Genomic DNA, 22323 nt, shown 5'->3' with positions numbered 1-22323 from the left:
TCTAGCTTGGCAAATTTAGCGGAAGTCTCTTCTTCCCTGAAATTTCTAGATTGAGAGGTTAATAAGCAAGTAGCAGCAATAATGTGCCCCCTCCTGAAAAAACACACATGCGCGTGCACGCGCACACACACCCCAAAAAATGCAATAAAAACAGGCTCAACACCAGCAAAAGGGTAGGTCAACCACAAAATCAGGACAGAGTGCACCATCTCGCTAATCCCCGGCCACTGATCAGGAAAAGTTTATAGAACCCCTGAAGAGGAAGGAAACAAGGAATCAGGGAAGGCTTTGGACAATGAACTTTTTAAAAGTTTGTTTGCAAGTATTTCCGTGAAAATGGTATTGACTGAGCAATTACAGGAAGAAGAAAAAAGAAAACTCTTTCTTCTTATCTGAATGCGGTTATATGCCATGGGTCACACCCTATTATTGTCACTATTAAACATGTTAATAGCCTCAATGTAATGACTTTGTGTGGCGAGCTTTAAAATGTACATGAATAGCTAACTAGAAAGAAATGACTCATCCCTGCCCAGGTGGATATTGACTTTCTGAGTCACATTTACTCAGCTGGTCTACCAACCTTAATTCCCTAGAGGAAGGGATCTAAAGGGTTCGAATCTGGCTGAATTACATGGAAAGAAAGAGAAGGGACAATGAATTTGAAATGTAGATGGAACAGAAAGTACAATTGTTGAGACTTGTAAGAACTTAGGTATCCTGAAACAAAATTTCCTCCCAACTCCTAAGGCAGCTGAGTGAAGAAAAGGATCAAACACCTTCTCCCTGAACAAGTGGAAGATGGTTGGTATCACAGCTCTGAACCATGGCCAAGAACCATGGCCAAGAACCATGGCCCTTCATTCCCAGCAATTTTTATAGCTCTCACCCTTCAGCTGTGTGATCTTATGGATATTGCTTTCTCTCTCTCTGGCTCAGTTACCTTAATTGCAAAATGGGAATAATCACACCACCTCCCTCATAAGGTTGCTATCAAGGTTTGGAAAAGTTAATATAGGAGGTAGTTACAGTAGTTCGTACAGTAGTTCCTGGATCACAGGAAGCCTGTGTTAAATGTCAAGGGATCTCTGTAGGTACCCAGTGGAGCAGACTGCGGGAATATCCCATGACCACCGCCTGTTTTGCAGATGCAAGAATTGCATCACGGAGCGGGGAAGCACCTTGCCAAAAAAGTGAGTGTTGGACTCAAACTTAGTTCTGACGACCAGTCACAAGAGGTTCCCATCACACTCTGCAGAGCCATTTCTATCACACCCATGCTGTGGGATCCGGATTTTCAGAGATCACCAAAATTCTTACCCTGCCCCCACCAACCCCCCCAGCCGAGGGAGTCTTGGCTCTGTTGCCCAGGCTGGACAGCAGTGGTGCTATCTTGGCTCACTGCAACCTCCGTCCCCCAGATTCAAGCAATTCTCCTGCCTCAGCCTCCCAAGTAGCTGGGATTACAGGCATGTGCCACCACGCCTGGTTAATTTTTGTATTTTTAGTAGAGACGGGGTTTCACCATGTCGAACTCCTGACTTCGTGATCTGCCCACCTCGGCCTTCTGAAGTGCTGGGATTACAGGCATGACCCACCACACCCAGCCACCACCAAAATTCTTGAAGTAGGTACTAGGAATGTTACATGTGAATTTCCATGGAAACCTACATGGAACACATAACTGAGCTACTCCAGCAGCGACTGGCCCATCACACAGACACACCATCAGGTTGTGATTCCTCAAGAATCTTGCCAATTGCCTGCACCAGTCTGAGCCCACCAGCTCTCTCATCAAGCTCCCGCTTTACATACAGCCTGTATGTGAACCTTTATCACTGATGGAGAAATTGAAGCACAGATCAGTCGGGTAACTTGCCCAAGTTGGCACAGCCCATAAGTGGCATCTTTGTACCTCACCTATTCACAGTTTACAGATTTAGATGACATCCTGGAAACGTGGCATTTTGGCACGTCCCTGGGAGATGCTTCTGGGTTCTGAGGACAAGGCTGAGAAATGCTCAGTCACTGGCGCCAGGGATCTAATCAGCTCCTGTAGACCTTGAGTTATAAGGAAGAAACCCAGTCTTTCTGTTTCATTTTCCTCATACTTAAAATGGGTGCCTGGTTCCTTTATCTACCTCCTGCCGCCAACCAAAGATTAATGAGTTACCATGTGCCAGGCTCTGATGGGAGAATAGCTATATTCATATCATCTTATCATAAATAGCCAGAATGAACAGCTATGCTTATTAAAAGCTGAACCAGTGAGAGGCTACTGAAAAAGATCTTCTACCAGGCCATGGCTAATGCAGAGAAAAGGGGGCCTCCCTGCTCTATCAGACCCAGGCCAGTTAAAGGGAATGCTCCTTAAACACACAGACAGCAGCTCCAGGTAATCAAGACATAGGCGTGGCCCAAGAACATGCAAGATCAGAGGCAAGCATGCAAGACAGCGAAAAGTCCGAAAGACTCCAGAAACATTTTGAGATGGAGTCTCACTCTGTTGCCCAGGCTGGAGTGCAGTGGTGTGATCTCAGCTCACTGAAACCTCTGTCTTCCTTCTGAGTTCAAGCGATTCTCCTGCCTCAGCCTCCTGAGTAGCTGGGAGTACGGGCACGCGCCACCACGCCTGGCTAATTTTTGTATTTTTAGTAGAGACGGGGTTTCACTGGTCTTGAACTCCTGATATCGTGATCTGCCCGCCTCAGCCTTCCAAAGTGCTGGGATTACAGGCGTGAGCCACTGCACCCAGCCACATCTTCAGTTTTATGCACATCTGGCTAACAGGGAATAGGTGGACCAGAGGATTTCCACTTTAGTACATGAAGTTACTAAAGAGAATTAGGCACATGTTATAGTGTCAAAAAGTGTTCCTAGAATTAAAAGTAGAAAGAAATTGCAAAACCGTATGAGGTATAATACCAATTTTGCGAAACGCTTTTAAGGTCTGTGCATATGAATGACTAGAAATGTGGAAATGTATCCAAATATTAAGAGATTATCGGCCAGACACGGTGGCTCACGCCTGTAATCCTAGCACTTTGGGAGGCCAAGTCATGCAGATCACCTGAGGTCAGGAGTTCAAGAACAGTCTGACCAACATGGCAAAACCCTGTCTCTATTAAAAATACAAAAATTAGCCGGGTATGGTAACAGGTGCCTGTAATCCCAGCTACTCGGGAGGCTGAGGCAGGAGAATTTCTTGAAGCTGGCAGGCGGAGGTCACAGTGAGCCAAGATCACACACTCCAGCCTGGAAGACAGAGCAAGACTCCGTCTCAAAATAAAAAATAAAAAAGACCAGGCATGGTTGTTCATGCCTGTAATCCCAGCAGTTTGGGAGGCCGAGGCGGGCGGATCACGAGGTCAGGAGATCGAGACCATCCTGGCTAACAGGGTGAAACCCTGTCTTTACTAAAAATACAAAAAATTAGCTGGGCTTGGTGGCGCGCACCTGTAGTCCAGCTACTCGGGAGGCTGAGGCAGGCGAATCGCTTGAAACCGGAGGCAGAAGTTGCAGTGAGCTGAGATTGCGCCACTGCACTCTGGCCTGGGCAACAGAGCGAGACTCTATCTCAAAAAAGAGAGAGAGATTATCAATAGGTAATAAGAGTATAGGTATTTACATTTTCTTTATGTATTTTTACAGTTTCTAGTTGTCTTATGTGGCTATTCATCACTTCCTACGCCAGAACAAACTTTTAAAGATGACTTATTCCACATTTTGTCTCTCCAACAGCAAGACTTATGTACATATGTATTACTCCAGGTCTCTGCCTGCTGGAGGCACTGCTTTCTGTCCCTGTGGCTGTAACACATAGCACAGCACCCAATAGGTATACAATAAATGTTTTTAAAGACAGAGGCTTTATTATTTGGTTCATAAATATTCACTTTTCTTTTTTTAAAAGCTAACACTAGTACTAAATCATTTGCTGTTTAAACCTAAGAGTTCCTTGAAAATTTTTCATCTGCATTGACTTTTGCTTTTCTGAAGATAAAAGCATGTTCTAGGTGTTATTTTTTCTTCAGGACTATTAATTTGAAGAGAACTGTTACTCCCAAGCACTGAGCAGTGTGGGGTATTGACACTGTATTGAATTATTTAAAGGAAATTAACAATGCTTCCTGTCCTTGGAGAGCAACATCTGCGAGTAAAGCCATTCACGGCTGCCTCAGGTAGGTATTGTCGAGGCAAAGTGGGCATTTTCCAGCACCCTGAATTTTAAAAGAAAATCTTTAAGTTCTAAATTACTAGTAACGAAGGCAAAGTTGAGGTGGTAACTTCTCCTCCATTGTGAACTGTGAAGAGTCCCAAGAGACACTTCCTGGGGCCAAGTTTAATGGGATAATGTTGTGCTCCTCATTTTCACAGAAGTTACGTGTGGCACTGGATCACGAGGGCCTTCACTGGGAGCCAGGCATCCTGGAGTCATGCGAGCACCACCCTCCACCCTCTCCTTGTAAACAGGCGTTTTTATGGCTATGATATCCCTATCAGCGGTCAGCACACCCAGACATCATGGCACCCAAAATGACAGTGACCCAACAAGAATTCAGGGATCGCAGTGGATGGGCCCTGCCCTAGAGAGAGGTAAACTTTGGGTGGGCGGCTTCATTTTAGAGCTAGCTCATCTCATACCGTGATTCTGCTCCGAGACCTACCTCAATACACCAGGGCTCCCCAACTTTTTGTAAGGAGTGGCTCCTTTTCATGTCCCTGAAGACTTGAGTGCTGACAGTGAAGTCTGAGGGGGGGTAGAAGTGCTGACAGTCATGTCCCTGAGTGCAGCAAGGGAGGGGGCTCTGCTGCCAGGAAGAAAGGGGAACAGAGTAAGGCTCGGGAGCGAGGGGGACACGTCACCAAGGCACACACAGCCCCCAGCCTTCCTTTCTGCCCTAACCCACATTTCTATAGAAGCTCCATGATAGAGGGATTACAGTTCCCAGCACAAATCAGAACTCTCCTATTTCCCTGCCATCCAGCTCAGGGTCCCTTCTAGGAACATCTGAAATGCAACCTCCTCCAGGCAGCCTTCCTGTTGTGTATTCCCACCCCTACCCACCATTCTCCTAATGGGCATGGCCTCCCCTTCCTCTGAGCCTCTCAAGAACCAGTTAGCTAGCATTTTCTCTCTCAACTTACCTTACTGAATCTATTAGTTATGTGAAATTGCTGATATTTCTGTCCTACAAAAATACAATTACATATGGTTCCACTTAATACTTCAGCTGTTTGGGGAGCTGATCTTTTTTTTTTTTTTCTAAGAGATGGGGTCTTGCTATGTTGCCCGGACTGGACTTAAACTCCTGGGCTCAAGCAATCCTCCTGTCTCAGCCTCCCAAACAGTTAGGACTACAGGTGCACGCCACCACACTCAGCTAATCTTTTTATTTTTATTTTATTTTTTTGTGGAGGCAGAATCTTGCTATGTTGCTCAGGCTGGTCTTGAACTCCTGGGCTCAGGCAATCCTCCTATCTCGGCCTCCCAAAGTGTTGAGATCTCAGGCAAGCGGCACCATGTCTGGCTGATCTGTCTTCACTCATACCTTAACACCTTTTCCTCTGCCAGGCGACAGTCTTTTGAGAAAAGCAACTATACTACCAATTCTGGACCCCTTGAAAGATCCAGCAGCACACACCTTGGGTGCTCAAGAAATATGCGTTAATTTGAATTTCAAACCCTATCACAATAGCTGCTACAGTTTACTGACGGCCTACTCTGTCTGGGGCCCTGGACAGGAGTGTGCCTCTTACTCCATTAATCCTCACCCCTACCTTATGAGGTAGGTAGTATCATGCCCATTTCACAGAGGAGGAAACTGACTCAGAGACTGTAAGGAGCATGCCCAAGGTCACACTGCTAGTAAATGGCAGAGGGGGAATATAGCTCAGGTCCCAGTCAACTCATGCAGGTGCCTGCTGTAGAGACCCATTGGCCTGTCTATGGCTCTATAAACAGGCTCTATAAACAAGAGAATTTAGGGCTGTAAAAAACAACTTGGGGTCCAAGAAGGGCGATTTCACAACCAAGAAATAATATTCTACGTTTCTTTTTAAAAAAAAAGAAATAGCTATGCCCTTTATGTTCATTGTAAAAAGTTTTATATGAAGAAAAACTCCATGAACGATTTTTTCATGTAATTTGTTCAGGATTAAGAATAAGAGATTGAGGATAACACCAACATCTTGTATGTTTTTACGTTCACTATCACAGTAGACATAGTGGGTATGCAAGACTCTGGAAAATAGGAAATTGACAAAAATAAAGGAAAAAGTTATACAACAGCAGCCACATCTTTAGAGCAGTGTACATGGTTACCATAGTATATGGTATTCCCATGGGCCTCAAGTTTATCCAGATGGATTAAAACCATCCACAGGCAAAGTGAGCTCTCAAAATGAGAGGGGGCCATTGCTGCCCCATAACTGGAGCTACTCCAGGGCCCACGCTGGCTGCAGCTGACCTTGTGTCTGGATTTTGAGAGCCACCAACCAGAAGCTGAGAGATCTGCCCCCAGGAAGGGAAGCCGAGCACCAGAGGAAGTACTCCGTTCTCCACCCCTGGAGGTCTAAGGTCTCCGTCTGGCAAGCAGAGCCTCCCACTCTGCATTTCTTCACAGAGCTGATTTGTAAACAGGAGCGTGAGTCATTCGGCAAGCATGAGTCCATTTGAAAGATCAGCCCAATTTTACAGCTAAGGCTATCCTATTCAGTCCAGCCACAGCAATGACTCACCTTACTGCCTTCCACCAAAGGTGACTTGGTTAGCCCTCCAATTGTTTCTAGAAGGAACCCAGCAACATGAGGGTTTAATCCTTGTCTGCTGGCTTTATTTTCTAACACAATGCTGAGAGCAAAGAGGCAGAGTTACCAAAGTGCCTCAGAGAATGCGTTGGGAAAGAAATGTATCCATGGTTGCCACAGACCACATGGTCTCCTTTATCTTCCACGGGCATTTCCTCATGGCCTTTACTCTTAGAGGAAATTGTACATTATGGAAATGTTAAACACACACACAACCTCTCTGTACAGATCTAGATATTCTTCCATGCCTGGGAACCTCAGAGCCAAATTTATAGTTCACGTCCAACAGCGCATCAGGGGCTACTGGCTTTGAACTTGTAGAATTAACCTTACCCCTAACCTTATTCCCCACCTTATGTTACTGGGCTACACTTATTGCCCTTTTTTTTTTCTTGTGTGTGTGTGGCCTGTAGGAGGTTTATTACCCCCTCAAGACCACACTTTCCCACCACCCCCTGCTTTCCTCTTTAATGTTCTTAATTATTCATTTCCAATCCTCTTACAGAATACAAAGTCTTAATAAATGACTTCCAATTTTAGGGGGGTAGGAGATGTCTTACAAAAAGTTCAAATGTATATACAACTACAGAATCTTTTTATATCATGAGAAAATAACTATAGTTTTTTTTTTTTTTTCCTTTTGAGTCTTTCTTAAAAAACAAACAAATAAAAAACTCTTCAACAAATCCTAAAGACCAGGAAATAAACATCTGCTGAGTTTTCTGCTCAGTGTCCATTCATGATTTTTCTGGTAACAATACTGCCAGTTACTTAGGGGGCAACCCCCTGACTCTAGAGCCATGTAGCTTAGTGGAGTGAACCCCACCCCCAGCTTCAGAAGTGGGAAAGTTTACACAGTCCAAGCTCACTCAGACACTGCAAGCCCTTCCCATAGATGCAGGTTCAGAATCAAGGTCACAGACTTGTAGGGAAAGATAAGATCTCTCTGGACTTGAATAAGCCTCTGTGCAGTAAAACCAACTGGGAGGCAAGCAGAGCCCAGAACTGGAAGGAGATGGTTCTAATACATGGGCCCCTGGATGCAACCATGCCTGATGCCTGATCATTCTGGACTTTTCAGTTATGGATCAATACATTCATTTTGCTCAGGCCAGTTTGAATTGGGTTTGAGGAGAGAGGAATTTAGACTCAAGCAGTCCTCACCTCAGCCAGATTGGCCTCCATAGTTGTCCATCCACGAATCAAGGGAGGATGTGGGAAAAATTGAAGGTGTTACAGGATAAAAGTAAATGAAGGCCTCGTGAGTTTCATGCTCCTGACATGACGAGTGGGCAAAGTACTGAAGTAGGGATTTGGTGCTTCTTGAAAGAATGAAGCAGGTGGCCAGTCTCTGCAGAAAGAAGACAAGGACCTTCAGCCACCACCCACCTGCTGGAATTGCCCCAAGGGCCCTCCTTCACCTCTAGTGTCCCTGTCACCGCCACTGGCAGCACTGAGCTATTTCATGTCATTTCATGGTCTCCATAATGCACCAGATCCAGAAAGTAGAGACCACAGATGCTGAACAGCACTAAAATCTGCCTCCTGGCTTTCTCCAGAAACACTGCCTATTTGTGACAGAGGACCTCAAGAGGTGTGTTTCTCCTGCGGAAAGTGAAGTTATGAGGCTGGATCAAGTCAAGAGAGAAGGTAGACTGACAGGGCTGCTGGGTTTGACTCTCACTGGTGGCTCAGCCCCTGATGTCAATGTGTGCTAACCAGATCTGAACACAGCCACGTGGATCAAGAATCAAGGTATGCCACCCATAAAGTCGTAGTAATATTTGTGTATTCCATTATCTTGCTTCTTTATGAGCTTACTGCCCCACTCCACAACTAGCTGGGTAATATTCAAACGCTAATGCAATCGAATAGCACCTAGTAAGCCAGAAAATACTAATTGCTCTGCCAGGAAACATTTAAAAATGAACAAGTATAGAAAGAGGTAAAAAGCATTTGAAAAACAAAACCCCTAAAAATACAAAGGCCTCCAGAGATGAGAATTTTGTATGAAATAATGTCACTCAGGGCTGGGTGTGGTGGCTTACACCTATAATCCCAGCACTGTCAGAGGCCAAGGCTGGAGGACTGCTTGAGCTCAAGAGTTCAAGACTAGACTGGGCAACATAGCAAGACCTCGTCTCTACTAAAAATTAAAAAAAAAAAAAAAATAGCCAGATGTGGTGGTGCAGGCCTGTAGCTACTCAGAAGGCCAAGGTGAAAGGTTTGGTTAAGCCTGGAAGATCAAGGCTGCAGTGAGCCATGATTGTGCCCCCGCACTCCAGCCTGGGTGACAGAGGGAAACCTGAATAAAAAAAAAGAAAGGTGTCAATCAGAGTAACATTGGCCAACACCTGTTGGCTGTTAGAAGAATCTCAACCAACCTCACAGGCAAGAAGAAAAAGGCAACAGCTTTACTCCTCTTTGCCTCAGAAAACTCTGGTGGTGATTAATTTTATGTGTCAGGGTTTTTTGTTTTTTTTTTTTGGGGGGGGGTGGCTTGAGACAGAGTCTCACTTTGTCACCCAGGCTGGAGTGCAGGGGTGCAATCTCAGCTCACTGCAACCTCCGCCTCCCGGGTTCAAGCGATTCTTGTGACAGCCTCCCGAGTAGCTGGGAATACAGGTGCACAACACCACTCCCGGCTAATGTTTGTATTTTTTTTGGTAGAGACCGGGTTTCACCATGTTGGCCAGGCTGGTATCCAACTCCTGGTCTCAAGTGATCCGCCCACCTCGGCCTCCCAAAGTGCTGGGATTACTACAGGTGTGAGCCACCATGCCTGGCCTTATGTGTCAGTTTGACTAAGTCACAAGGTGCCCGGATATTTGGTTATACACTATTCTGGATGTTTCTCTGAGGATATTTTTAGATAAGTTTAACATTCACTGAGTAAGGCGGATGGTCCTCCTTGATGTGAGCAGGCCTCAGCCCATCAGCTGAAGGCCTGAACAGAATACAAGGCTGATCTTCCTCCAAACCAGCCGGCATCCTCCTGAGTAACTGCCTTCGGGCTTGAGCTAAAGCAGCATCTCTGGGCTCCAGCCCACCGGCCTTTGAAAAGGAATTACACCATCAGTTCTACCAGTCCTCCAGCCTTTAGACTCAGACTAGAGCTGCACCATGGACTCTCCTGGGTCTCCAGCTTCCCAGCTACAGACCATGACACTTGATGATGCAGATTATGGAATTCCATGACTGGGTGAGCCAGTTCCTTATTACAAATCTCTCTATATAAACACATACATCCTATTGGTTTTATGTCTCTGGAGAACCCTGACAAATGCATATGGATTCAGATTTTCATGTATTTTCTCCTCCACAGCAAGAGGGAATGGATTTGTGCGTCTCTGAAAGATCAGAGTTTTAAAATGAAATGAGTCTTAGAAATCATCTCATTTAATTCTTTATGATTTTCTTTAAATCTCCAAGTCTAGATGTAAAAGGGCCTGTCCAGGACCACACAGCTAAAAAAGAGCTGAAACTAAAGCCTAGATTTTTAAAGACTAGAGTTCAAGGTTCTATGCATAAATGGAAGAATTTTCTTTTGGAAATGCCACATCTTTGGAACAATAAGAAATCCATTTAAAAGAAGGATATTGCTAAGGGCCATTCCACTAAAAAAGCAAAGTACTGAACTGACAATTTTTAAAAATTGGTGAGAAGGTAACATCCTCATATTTCTTATCATGTATTCACACACAAGGATGCCAAAAAACAAAGAGCAACCATCCAAACCAGCCAACCCCACGTACACACGCGTAACCTTGGAGACAGGTAAGGTCTTTACAGGTCACACTGATCCAGCTTTATGCACCATCGATAATTCTCACCTCTGAAGATGAGGTAACTTTGATGGGAACTAATTACATCTGAAATACACTGTCAACTTACTGCAAAGGCAAAGAAACTGCCATCAGGGCTCCAGATAAGCTACCATTTTTATCGTAAAGACAAGCCCAGTTCCTCCCCAGACCGGGATATCATCACTCACATGGCAGATGTATGCAATCCTTTTTTCTCATTATTATTTTTTTTTAATGTGAGCATGTGTGAGTGGCAAGGTGTGAGTGGCAAGGTGTGAGTATGGGCCCACACTTGCACGTGTGTGTGTGTGTGTGTGTGTGTGTGTGTGTGTCTATCAGTATATGTGGAGGGCAGTGTCCTAGAGTCACGAATGGCAAGTGTCCAGGTCACACATGGCACCTCCCTCTTCCCTTACTACCTCCATAGCACACAGCCACTCTGCTCAAAGTTGGCACGAGTTGGAATGTAATCACCATCTCTGCACTCAAGGCATGCAGAAATGAAGTCTACCTCAGCCCTCAAAGACCTCACCTGAGAAAAAGACAAGGCTCCAAACAGAAGGCAAAACAGAATGAGCATAGAAAGAGACCACTTTTTCACATACCTTTACAAAGCACTGCTCACCCCTCCTTAACCTCGCACAGACAGAGCATGGGGCCTCAGTGTCACTGCCACTGCCACCCTCCCACTGACTAGCTGTACTCTCTGAATTTCTGGGGCTCAGCTTGACACAGCATATGAGGATGCTGGCTGCTGGATGACTTCTAAGGGTTGTGTCCACCTCCAACACACTCCACTTCTGTATGGCTAGCAGAACACAGAGGGGCGGGTTTGTTAGGACCTTGACTCTCTACGTACAGAAGCGATGCACCCCGATTTCTGGACATGGCCATTATATAATAAGAGGGTAAATTTATTAAAATAAGTCACATTCAAGGAGAAAAGGCCACATGCATGTGCGTGTGCACGTGCACACACACACACACACACACAAGCAGAATGAAGATTTCTTTTACTGAATAAAAGTTCAACATGACCAAGAAAAAGTGTTTTAGAAATATGGCATCATGAATAGGAATTTGCAGCACCATTTCAAAAGGTGTTTGCTGGTTAAAACAAAGTTTTGTCAACTGTTTCTTTTTTCCTGTGGGGGGGAAAGTGTACCTATCAAATATTGAGAAATTGGAAATAAGATTTTTTTAATTGTTGTATCATAAACAGTACAGGGAAAAATGGGTAAAGATAATTTTTTTCAAGTTTGGAATAAAGTTATTAAAAAAAGACATTATATGGGTAATTCTGAATAAAGGAGACACTTTTTAACTGTATTGACACTAAATTAGTTTTATATGTGAAGGTCAAGGCTTTACTGGGATGAAAGGTAATAAGATGAAGTGGTTAACCTTAACATTATCTGAACTTGAGATATTAACCAAGGCACGCAAAAAAAAAAAAAAAATGGTAGTGGCTCACACCTATAATCCCAGCACTTTGGGAGGTCAAGGCAGGCAGACCACTTGAGGTCAAGAGTTCGAGACCAGCCTGGCCAACATGGTGAAACCCTGTGTCTACTAAAAATACAAAAATTAGCCAGACGTGGTGGCAGGCACCTGTAATCCCACATACTCAGGAGGCTGAGGCAGGAGAATTGCTTGAACCTGGGAGGCAGAGGTTGCAGTGAGCCGAGATCATGCCACTGCACTCCAGCCTGGGCGCAGCCTGGGCAACAGAGCGACACTCCATCTCAAAATAATAATAGTAATAATGAAGTTCAAACAGACCTGGCTAACATTAAATCAAGTCTTTTTGAAGGCACATCTAATTTCGAGGACATCCATACACTAACTGGCACCAGCTATCACTCCCATTTGTTTTCCGCAACAGGGATGAGGTTCAATGTGACCTCAAGCAGGTGGAAAATGAACTCTCCTTGCAATCTTTATATCCATTATTTCCATATGCAACTGACAGAGTCTCTGTCCTTAACAGTATAATCTTTCCAGACAAGTCAATAGCGAGCAAGCATGAAAAACCATGCTCATCAATGACTTTGAGAGAACAGGAGTTGATTTCACTTGTTTAAGCATAACACAGAAGCCCATCCACCTTACTCAGCAATGACTGGCTATGGAAGAACATTAAGCAGAAGCTCGGGTTCAAGCAGCACAGGCTGCAGAAAGCTTTGTGAATCTAGCTAATGAAGAAAGCATTATACTGTGCTTATACTGAGATTCTTGCTAAAGGTACGCTCCTTCTCCCAAGCAGCCTTTGGGAAGTAGTATTGGTGCGTGTTGTGTGCTGTAAACATTACTGGGCAGAATCACGGGGCCAAGAGGGAGAAGAGGGTCTGATCAGGACTTGTGATGTGTACTAGGTAATCCTCTCTTTAAAAGCCAACATATCTCTTACAAAAAGAACGTTAGCAGCCTAAAATGGGACTGCAAAGTCAAAACAACATAGGGGCTAGGTGTATTAGGAGATCTAGCTACCACTCAGGAAATTTAGATGGATTTGCTCTGAAAAAGAAAGCAGTGTTGGTAAACAGCGCCCTCCTCCCCTTTCAATGGGAATCAAATGTTTTAAAATGTAAATAACAGGTTCCTGGAACACCCCTGGAATTTCTCCTGGAAATGCTTTCATAATTCACATCTTGTTAGCCACAGGAACCCCAATTACATATCCTCTTTTCTCATTTCCACTAACCAATTATCAGCATTAGATAATAACACACTATTTTCTGCTAATATGTTTCCTGACAACATCAAACTCCAGAGGGTCTTCATGATGCAATAACTGAATAAGTGTGCAAACGAGGGCTAATTTATGAGAAAATGTTATTTAAACCTTCTCGGGTGCTTATGAAAACAAGCCATGTTGGTTAAGAGACACCATAAACACTAAATTATTGCATAAAAATGTACGAAATTGAAATGGCTTTAATGAAAACAAGTTCTTTTCAGATATTATGAAAGGAGAAATCCCAATGGGAGCATACAAAGATATAAATATTCAAGAACAATGCATTCCCACAGGCAGGATCAACTTGACACCACCTTGTTCAGAATGGGAACACACAAGGAAACTTGAAAAAAGACTTGCCAGCCCCATTCGCTGGCAACCTTGGTTCCAATACTTGCCCCAGTATATGAATTCCAAAAAGGATCACACTGTCGCAAATCTGACTGCTTAGGCAGTCACCTCTGTGTCAGAGAGTATATACCCAGGGCATCCACAATGCCTTCTGCTTGGCCTTTGGTGATGTGGTAGCTGCCTTGTAATGTATCTGCAGTGTATGTGGGGTTTCTCAGCTTGAAACGGAGAGGTGAAGTTTTCATGGCATAAGGGGTGTGGAGTCTGGGATGAATTATCTCTTGCGCCACCCAAAACTTTGGCTGTCTTCTAACCCCAGACATTTATAACTTTATTAGTAAAAATCACGTTAAAGAGGATTTTTGTGAGAAGGGGGAAAACCCTAAATTGTGTGTGCATGTATGTGGGCTGTGTATGTGGGCTGTGTGTGTGTGGTGTGTCTGTGGTGCATGTGTGTGTGTACAGAGGCAGAGACAGTACACACATAAGATGCAGGGGTCAACCTCATCTTGCTCCCTTTTCTTCTCACCAATAAAAGGATGGCGATCAGGCACAGTGCTCACACTTGTAATCCCAGCACTTTGGGAGGCGGAGGGGGGTGGTTCACCTGAGGTCAGGATTTCAAGACCAGCCTGGCCAACATGGTGAAACTCCATCTCTACTAAAAATACAAAAATTAGCCGGGCATGGTGGCACACACCTGTAATCCCAGCTACTTGGGTAACTGAGGCACGAAAATCGCTTGTACCCGAGAGGCAGAGGTTGCAGTGAGCCGAGATTACACCATTGCACTCCAGCCTGGGCGATGGAGCGAGACTCTGTCTCAGAAAAAAAAAGGGATGGGTCCATCTGCCAGAATAAGTATAACAGGTCCAACGTTCTTGGATTTAGATGGTTCTGAAACAACCCTCAGTTTTTAGGGATCTCTTAAAGATTGTTGAGGGTTCCCCCCACTTTGTAAAGTGAAACACATCTTCATATGTCTAACATGTGCAGCCAATAAAGAAAAAATTCAGGTTTTCCTTGAAAACTTTCTTCTGAAAGTACTTAAGGGACATTAAAATGCCAAAAACAGCCCTGCAGGGTGGCGATCAGAACTGATTATAAAGCTGCTGGCCCGGGCTGGATCTCCTGAGCAGAGCAGCTCTCCGTGTGGCCACATCAACGCAGATGCAGGCAGGAGTCCGTGTGGCAAATCGGGACAAAACAAATTTTCCTGTCTTCAGAGCATCATCATGCCTAGGCTTCTTAATATTTACAACAGGTAAAAACAACCACCAAAACAGTAACAAATTTAAAAACCAAACCCAAAACCAAAAGGCTCCCCAGGCTGGCAAGGGCATCACCTGTCAGAATCTGCTGTGGCTGGCCCAGCGCACTGGCTCACGCCTGTAATCCCAGCACTTTGGGAGGCCAGGATGGGTGGATCACTTAAGGTCAGGAGTTTGAGACCAGCCTGGCCAACATGGTGAAACCCCCGTCTCTATTAAAAATACAAAAATTAGCCAGGCATTGTGGCAGGCACCTGTAATCCCAGCTACTCGGGAGGCTGAGGCAGGAGAATCACTTGAACCCAGGAGGCGGAGGTTGCAGTGAGATGAAATCACACCACTGCACTCCAGCCTGGGTGACAGAGCAAAATTCCATCTCAGAAAAAAAAAAAACAAAAAAAGAATCTGCTGTTGCCATCTGACTGATCCCTGCGGCTTCCAGGATTACCACCAGCGTGAAAATGAAGACAAGGGAGATAGCACCTATCAGAGGCATGTTTCAGCCACCGGAGATAACATCTTAATCCTTAGCCAACCTACAGAAAGAGCAACAAACTGGGTGTGTGTGGTGGCTCATGCCTGTAATCCCAGCACTTTGAGAGGCTGAGGGAGGAAGATCCCTTGAGGCCAGGAATTCAAGACCAGCCTATAGTGAGACCCCATCTCTGCAAAAAAAATTTTTTAAAGAGCTGGATGTGGTGGCACATGACTGTAGTCTCAGCCATCACTTGATCCCAGGAGGTCAAGGCCGCAGTGAGCTGTGATTGGGCCATTGCACTTCAGCCTGGGCAACACAGTGAGATCCTGCTCAAAAAATAAAATAAAAAGAGTAACAGTAAGTAGAAAGTTACTAATTGCATTCATTAAAAAGTCTTTAGTGTCTCAGGGGGACCATGAATTCTAAAGTTATCTTTACCCAATGTCTGGTTCCAGGTAGTGTGCTGAGGTACATATTTGTTGAACTGTGTGGACCGCTCATAGACTTGATCATCTTTGCCCCATAACAGTCATTACCATAGGAACACTTAACTTGCAATAAAAGGAAAGGGATCATTTGGAAAATTAAAGCAAATATGAACTAGCTTAATTTTTTTTTTTAATTCTGAAGCTTGCCATCAACTGATGAATGGGTCAACAAAATATGGGATATCCATATAATGAAATATTATTCAGCCATAAAAGGAATAAAGTCCTGGCCAGGCACAGTGGCTCATGCCTGTAATCCCAGCACTTTGGGAGGCCAAGGAGGGCAGATCACTTGAGGTCAGGAGTTCTACACCAGCCTAGCCAACATGGTGAAACCCCATCTCTACTAAAAATACAATAAATAAATAAATAAATAAATAAATAAATAAATAAATAAATAAATAAGCAAGCCAGGCGTGGTGGCATGGGCCTGCTACACAGGAGGCCAAGGCAGGTGAATCGCCTGAACCTGGGAGGCAGAGGTTGCAGTGAGCCGAGATATGCCACTGCACTCCAGCCTGGGCGACACAGCAAGACTCTATCTCAAAAAAAAAAAAAAAAGAAGAAAAGAAAAGAAAGAAATTATGTCCTGATACATGCAGCAACATGGACGAACCTTGAAAACATTTAAGTTAAGCGAAAGAAGCAGTCACAAAGGACCACAAATTTTATGACTTCATGTATATATCTAATGCCAGAACAGGCAAATCCATAGAAACAGAAAGTAGATTGACAGTTGCCTTGGGCATGGGGGAGAAGGCAGAGTGGGGGAAATGGGGAGTGAGAGCTAATGGGTACAGTTTCTTTTAGGGGGTGAGGAAAATGTTCTACAATGGCGATATTGGTTGCATAGTTCTGCAAATATACAAAAAACCACTGAATTATATACTTTAAATGGGTGAACTGCATGGTATGTGACTAAACTTATTTTTTAATTCTGGAGTTTAAATTGGCATAATTACCACTATCTTATCTCTGTGTAACTGCTTTGTATTTTAATTTTGAGTACATTTTATTGGAAAAGAATATACAACTCTGGGAAACAGGCAGGATAAGAATTATTATTCCCATTTTACAGTAAGCAGAGGTCCACAGAGCTTCTGTTTTCTTTCCACTGCCTGGCTGAGTTCCTGCAGGACTCAGGGAAGAATGTAAATTACGGTGGAAGAAGGGGACCACAGGTCTTAGCACCCCAAATCAGGAAGGGATGATAACTAGCTCTTGCCAGATGTCTAGAAATGTTCTGTAGGTGGATCATACAGACATGCTACTAAACAAAAGGCATTGAAAAATGGCAGGTGGATTACTGAAATGTAATTCTTAATAGCATGAAATTCAGGTTAAACAATTTAGCTAAAAATGCAGGGGAGGGGGAAGAGTCACCTCTTTACTTGATATCTGGTGGGGTGAAAATACACCCAATTAGATGTGTCCATATAATTTTCACATCAAACATCCTGTGCTCCCAAAGGCAACTAATGGCACAGCTTGCTATGGATTTTCCCAAGTTTTCAAGAACAGTGACAGCCCTCTTCAACAAAGCCACTTAACATAACACAAGGTTAAAGTGGGAACCGCAAACACTTGCTTTTCTTAATTTACACCTTTCATTTACTTCCCCAGAAATGTCATAAAGGAACCATAGAATTTCTGATGTACTGTCAATAGATGGTTCCTTTCAAGAACAGCATTTAGAAAGAAAATGTGAATAATCCTACAAGGTAATCTGGAGCTATAACTTAAAACAAATAATAATTAGCATTTTGGGAGAAGAAAGATGATTTTGGTCTGGGTCTCTCACTTTAACAACAACAACAAAAAGACTAGTTCAGGTGTGGTGTTTCACGCATGTAATCCCAGCACTTTGGGAGGCAAAGGCAAAAGGATCACTTGAGGCCAGGAGTTCGAAACCAGCCTAGGCAATAGGGTAAGACCCTGTCTCTACAAAAAATAAAAAAGTTAGCCAGGCATGGTAATTCACACCTATAGTCCCAGCTGCTCAGGAGGCTGATGCTGGAGGATTGCTTGAGTCCAGGAGCTAAAGGTTGCAGTGAGCTATGATCAAGTCAGTATATCCCAGCCTGGGTGACAGAGCAAGATCCTGTCTTTTTTTTTTTTTTTTTTTTTTGAGATGGAGTCTTGCTCTGTTGCCTACGCTGGAGTGCAGTGGCGTGATTTCGGCTCACTACAACCTTCGCCTCCTGGGTTTAAGTGATTCTCCTGCCTCAGCCTCCCCAGTAGCTGGGATTACAGGCACGTGCCACCACGCCTGGCTAATTTTTGTATTTTTAGTAGAGACAGGGTTTCACCATGTTGGCCAGGTGTGTCTCGAACTCCTGACCTCAGGTGATCAACTCGCCTCAGCCTCCCAGAGTGCTAGGATTACAGGCCCCGGCTGTAAGATCCTGTCTTTAAAAACAAAATGAAACAAACAAACAAACAAAAAACTATTAGGTAAGTGGAAAACTAGGATTTTGACAAATGCAAATGCAATGACTTCACATTATCTCTTTCACTAACCAGGTAGGATCTAAACCCATGCTGCACCACAGCAAACAAAATTCAGCTCACAGGGAGCTATTCTCTGCACCACAGACCTTTCACAGCTTGAGAAGCTACTAGCTTTTACATCATCATGTCTGTGCAGCTTTAATCTTTTCTCTTTTTTTGAAGAATACCCTAGTAAACCAGAAAGATATTTTTTAAACACATAAAGTAATTGGCAACATTAAAAAAAATACATTTGCAAATTGGGTTGCCATTCATTTAAAGATACTCTTTTTTTCTTTTTTCTTTTTTTTTTGGACACAGAGTTTCGCTCTTGTCGCCCAGGCTGGAGTGCAATGGCACGATCTCAGCTCACTGTAAACTCCACCTCCCAGGTTCAAGCGATTCTCCTGCCTCAGCCTCCAGGAGAGCTCGGATTACAGGTGCCCATCACCACTCCCGGCTAATTTTTGTATTTTTAGTAGAGATAGGGTTTCACCATGTTGGCCAGGCTGGTCTCGAACTCCTGACCTCAGGTGATCTGCCCGCCTCTGCCTCCCAAAGTGCTGGGATTACAGGCATAAGCCACCATTACCCCGCCCATTTAAAGTATTCTTTTCAGGCTGGGCACTGTGGCTTATACCTGTAATCCCAGCATGCTTTGGGAGACTAAGGTGAGAAGATTGCTTCAGCCCAGGAGATCAAGGTTACAGTGAGTTATGATCTGGACAACAGAGCCAGACCCTGTCTCTAAATAAATAAATAAATAAATACTTTCCTATATCTGAGTCTATTCTTTAGTTGCTCAATGAACACATTAAAGCTGAGCTTCTCAGCTTTGGCACTGTTGATGTTTTTGATAATTCTTTGGGAGGGTGAGGGGTTGCCCTAGCAGCATCCCTGCCCTGTGCCCATGAGATGATGACAGAAGTACCCCCTGCCCAGCTGTTACAACCAACACTGTATCCAGATGTCTCCTGGGGAACAAAATTGCCCCAGCTGAAAACTACTGAGGTAAAGGCAACTGGTATGAAAATCTGCCTATGGCGTGGAGGCCCCAGCTTTAAAGTTTATTTGGATCACTGTAGTAGTCAGTAGCAACATTAAAACCATCCCATTCAAATCCAAATACTCAACCGAGATCAGGAAACCCAGCAAAATATGGTGCTGGTGTCAATGTGTGATGAGCCCCGCAGTGATGAGTGTGCAGCCGTCAGCAGTGTGCCAAGGTCCCGCACAGTCCGACAACTCTTTTAAATGTCCCTAATATTTATAAATGTATGAAGTGACAGGATTGACATTAGCAAGATTAATATGTTGCTAATTGACATTAGCAAGATATGGAAGGAGGGGTTCCCATATGTGTTTACGTCTTGTTAAAATCACACAGCTTTAGTAATCTGCTAATCATAATAGCCCAGTCACTCAAGAAAACTCTAACCACCCCCTTTTTGGACAACGGGAAGAGGGGTGTGGGCTGGTGGTAGCAAACTGGCAAAACAATGATATTTTTATCTCTGATCTCTTTAAAGAAATAATCCAAATACAAAATAATAAAGAGTCCATCTAATTCACAAATCCAGAATGTTCTGCATAAAGTAAGTCCAAGTATCTAAAAGATCCAAGATGACGTCTGTGCTCCAGGAAGAAAGGTGCCAGCTTCAACACCCTGGCTGACCTTTGGTGTGTTAGTCAGCCTGCGACCGCCCCAGAAACCACCCAGAGGTGACCAGCTACAGCCAGCTCACCAGCGGCCGACACCAGAGTCAACAGCAGCACCGGATGTGGAATGGACAAACCCCAGACCCAGCACACGACCCTGGTGCCTCTCTTACAGAGCAGAGAAATGCTATAACGTATCATCATTCCTGGGGTGTGGTCTGTTTTCTGGACGCTGCGCCAGCAACTCGCACATGGAGTCGTCCAGGCCGCAAGGATGGGCGGCAGGCAGCAGGGCCAGGCAGTCCGGTGTGGTGAGTCACACTGAGGCCCGCAGGTTGGGAAGCAAATAAAAAAGGAGATCGGGAAGCAGCTCTGCAGGGCGGAGCCAAGAATGTCTTGTGACCTTTGTTTTTTTTTTTTTCTTAAAGACGGGGTCTCACAGTCGCCCAGGCTGGAGTGCAGTGGTGCAATCACAGCTCACTGCAGCCGCAAACCCCTGGGCTCAAGCGATCCTCCCGCCTCAGCCTCCTGAGTAGCTGGAGCTATAGGAGCACACCACCACCCCCAGCTAATTTTTTTGATTTTTTTTTTTTTTTTTTTTTTTTTTTTTTGGTAGAGACCGGGTCTTGCTTTGTTGCCCAGCCTAGTCTGAAACTTCTGGGCTCAAGTGATCCTTCTGCCTCAGCCTCCCAAAGTGCCGGAATTACGGAGTGAGCCACCCTTTTAAATCCAAACACTTTGGTGATCATGAAAATTTAGGCTTTCAGAGTTGACCATCACCAAGATGATAATTCAACATTTCTTTCTCTGGAGGACCCAAGCAGGACAGGGAACAGAGCTTATGAATTCCACCTGTGGTCAACGAGTTGTAGACTGGAAAGACACCTGCTTGAGAAGTGAGGTGGACCACACAGGATGTCTGAGTGCCGATCACCTTTATGTTTCTCTCTATCTCTCTCTCTGTCTCTCTCTCTCTCTCTCTCTCACACACACACACACACACACACACACACACGACCTGGCCCTGCCCTAGGTACACATGGCTGGCCACCAGCACCTAACTAGGGTCCACTTCCATTCCTGGGGACATGAACAGCATAGTTGCTCTAGCTCAGGGGCTGGGAGCATCACTTGGCACTTAACACCTGAATTTATTAAGAAACCTCAAAACCATGGTCTTCACATTTTTACCTGGACAGCAGAAAAGGTCTCAGGCCCAGTGCCATCACAATCATGATGTATGGAGACTCGTGCTGCTTCTTTTTTCATTTCTTCCCAAAAGGCAGGCAAGAAACAACAGATTGCTTGCTACAGATCGAGGCAAGAACCAATACACAACAGCCCGAGTCACCTGTGTGCACCACAAATAAAAACTTCTCATATTCCACTGCCAGTTTCCCAAGCATGCACAAGATTTTGGGTTGGCTCTTTTTATTTAAGTAGTTTAAAAGCAACTGATTGGCTGGGTGTAGTGGCTCACGCCTGTAATCCCAGCACTTTGGGAGGCCAAGGCAGGACGCTCACCTGAGGTCAGGAGTTCGAGACCAGCCTGGCCAACATGGTGAAGCCCGGTCTCTACTAAAAATACAAAAATTAGCTGGAGGCGGTGGCACACGCCTGTAATCCCAGCTACTCAGGAGGCTGAGGCTGGAGAATCGCTTGAACCCGGGAGGCGCAAGTTGCAGTGAGGCGAGATCCCACCACCGTACTCCAGCCTGGGTGACAGAGCAAAACTCCATCTCAAAAGAAATAAAAAATAAAGGCCAGGCGCGGTGACTCACGCCAGTAATCCCTCCCTTTGGAAGGCTGAGGCGGGAGGATCACAAGGTCAGGAGATCTACACCATCCTGGCTAACACGGTGAAACCCCGTCTCTGCTAAAAATACAAAAAATTAGTCGGGCGTGGTGGCGGGTGCCTGTAGTCCCAGCTACTCTGGAGGCTGAGGCAGGAGAATGGTGTGAATCCAGGAGGCAGAGGTGCAGTGAGCCGAGATCGTGCCACTGCACTCCAGCCTGGGCGACAGAGCAAGACTCCGTCTCAAAAAATAAATAAACTAATTAATTAATTAAAATAAAATTAAAAATTTTTAAAAAGCAAGTGATTAAAAAGCTCTTCCACCTCCCTTATTAAAACAGTAATTTATTAAAACAATCATTCTCCTTGGAGAGTACTGCTGAAGCAGAGTGCACCCACAATTCCACTTACTCCAGCATCCACAGTCCCAGCCAG

General features: G+C 44.6%; 1 protein-coding gene across 15 annotated transcripts in view, besides 4 other annotated features; it reads right to left on the bottom strand.

Annotated features, from left to right (window-relative positions):
- The window catches only part of TCF7L2 (transcription factor 7 like 2), a 217432-nt gene that overhangs the window by 73471 nt on the left and 121638 nt on the right, over positions 1–22323 (bottom strand). The window contains exon 5 of one of the 15 annotated variants that reach the window (NM_001146283.2): positions 4668–4808. The exons of the other annotated variants lie outside the window; for them this stretch is intronic. Coding sequence (NP_001139755.1) covers positions 4668–4808 — 141 coding nt within the window. The remainder of the gene's footprint in view (positions 1–4667; positions 4809–22323) is intronic. 15 annotated transcript variants of the gene reach the window in all.
- Positions 6969–7521: an enhancer, noted in NCBI's record as "H3K27ac hESC enhancer chr10:114846446-114846998 (GRCh37/hg19 assembly coordinates)". NCBI's record gives its function as "activates a minimal SCP1, AML or CMV promoter by ChIP-STARR-seq in naive H9 embryonic stem cells {active_cell/tissue: H9 hESC(naive)}" and the evidence as "EXISTENCE:reporter gene assay evidence [ECO:0000049][PMID:30033119]".
- Positions 15033–15534: an enhancer, noted in NCBI's record as "H3K4me1 hESC enhancer chr10:114838433-114838934 (GRCh37/hg19 assembly coordinates)". NCBI's record gives its function as "activates a minimal SCP1, AML or CMV promoter by ChIP-STARR-seq in naive H9 embryonic stem cells {active_cell/tissue: H9 hESC(naive)}" and the evidence as "EXISTENCE:reporter gene assay evidence [ECO:0000049][PMID:30033119]".
- Positions 17365–17958: an enhancer, noted in NCBI's record as "NANOG-H3K4me1 hESC enhancer chr10:114836009-114836602 (GRCh37/hg19 assembly coordinates)". NCBI's record gives its function as "activates a minimal SCP1, AML or CMV promoter by ChIP-STARR-seq in primed H9 embryonic stem cells {active_cell/tissue: H9 hESC(primed)}" and the evidence as "EXISTENCE:reporter gene assay evidence [ECO:0000049][PMID:30033119]".
- Positions 19269–20038: an enhancer, noted in NCBI's record as "H3K27ac-H3K4me1 hESC enhancer chr10:114833929-114834698 (GRCh37/hg19 assembly coordinates)". NCBI's record gives its function as "activates a minimal SCP1, AML or CMV promoter by ChIP-STARR-seq in primed H9 embryonic stem cells {active_cell/tissue: H9 hESC(primed)}" and the evidence as "EXISTENCE:reporter gene assay evidence [ECO:0000049][PMID:30033119]".

The sequence above is a fragment of the Homo sapiens genome, chromosome 10, assembly GCF_000001405.40.
Source record: "Homo sapiens chromosome 10, GRCh38.p14 Primary Assembly".
Lineage (NCBI taxonomy): Eukaryota > Metazoa > Chordata > Mammalia > Primates > Hominidae > Homo > Homo sapiens.
Note: the sequence above shows the minus strand (reverse complement) of the source record. Positions and strands in the feature narration are given on the sequence as shown.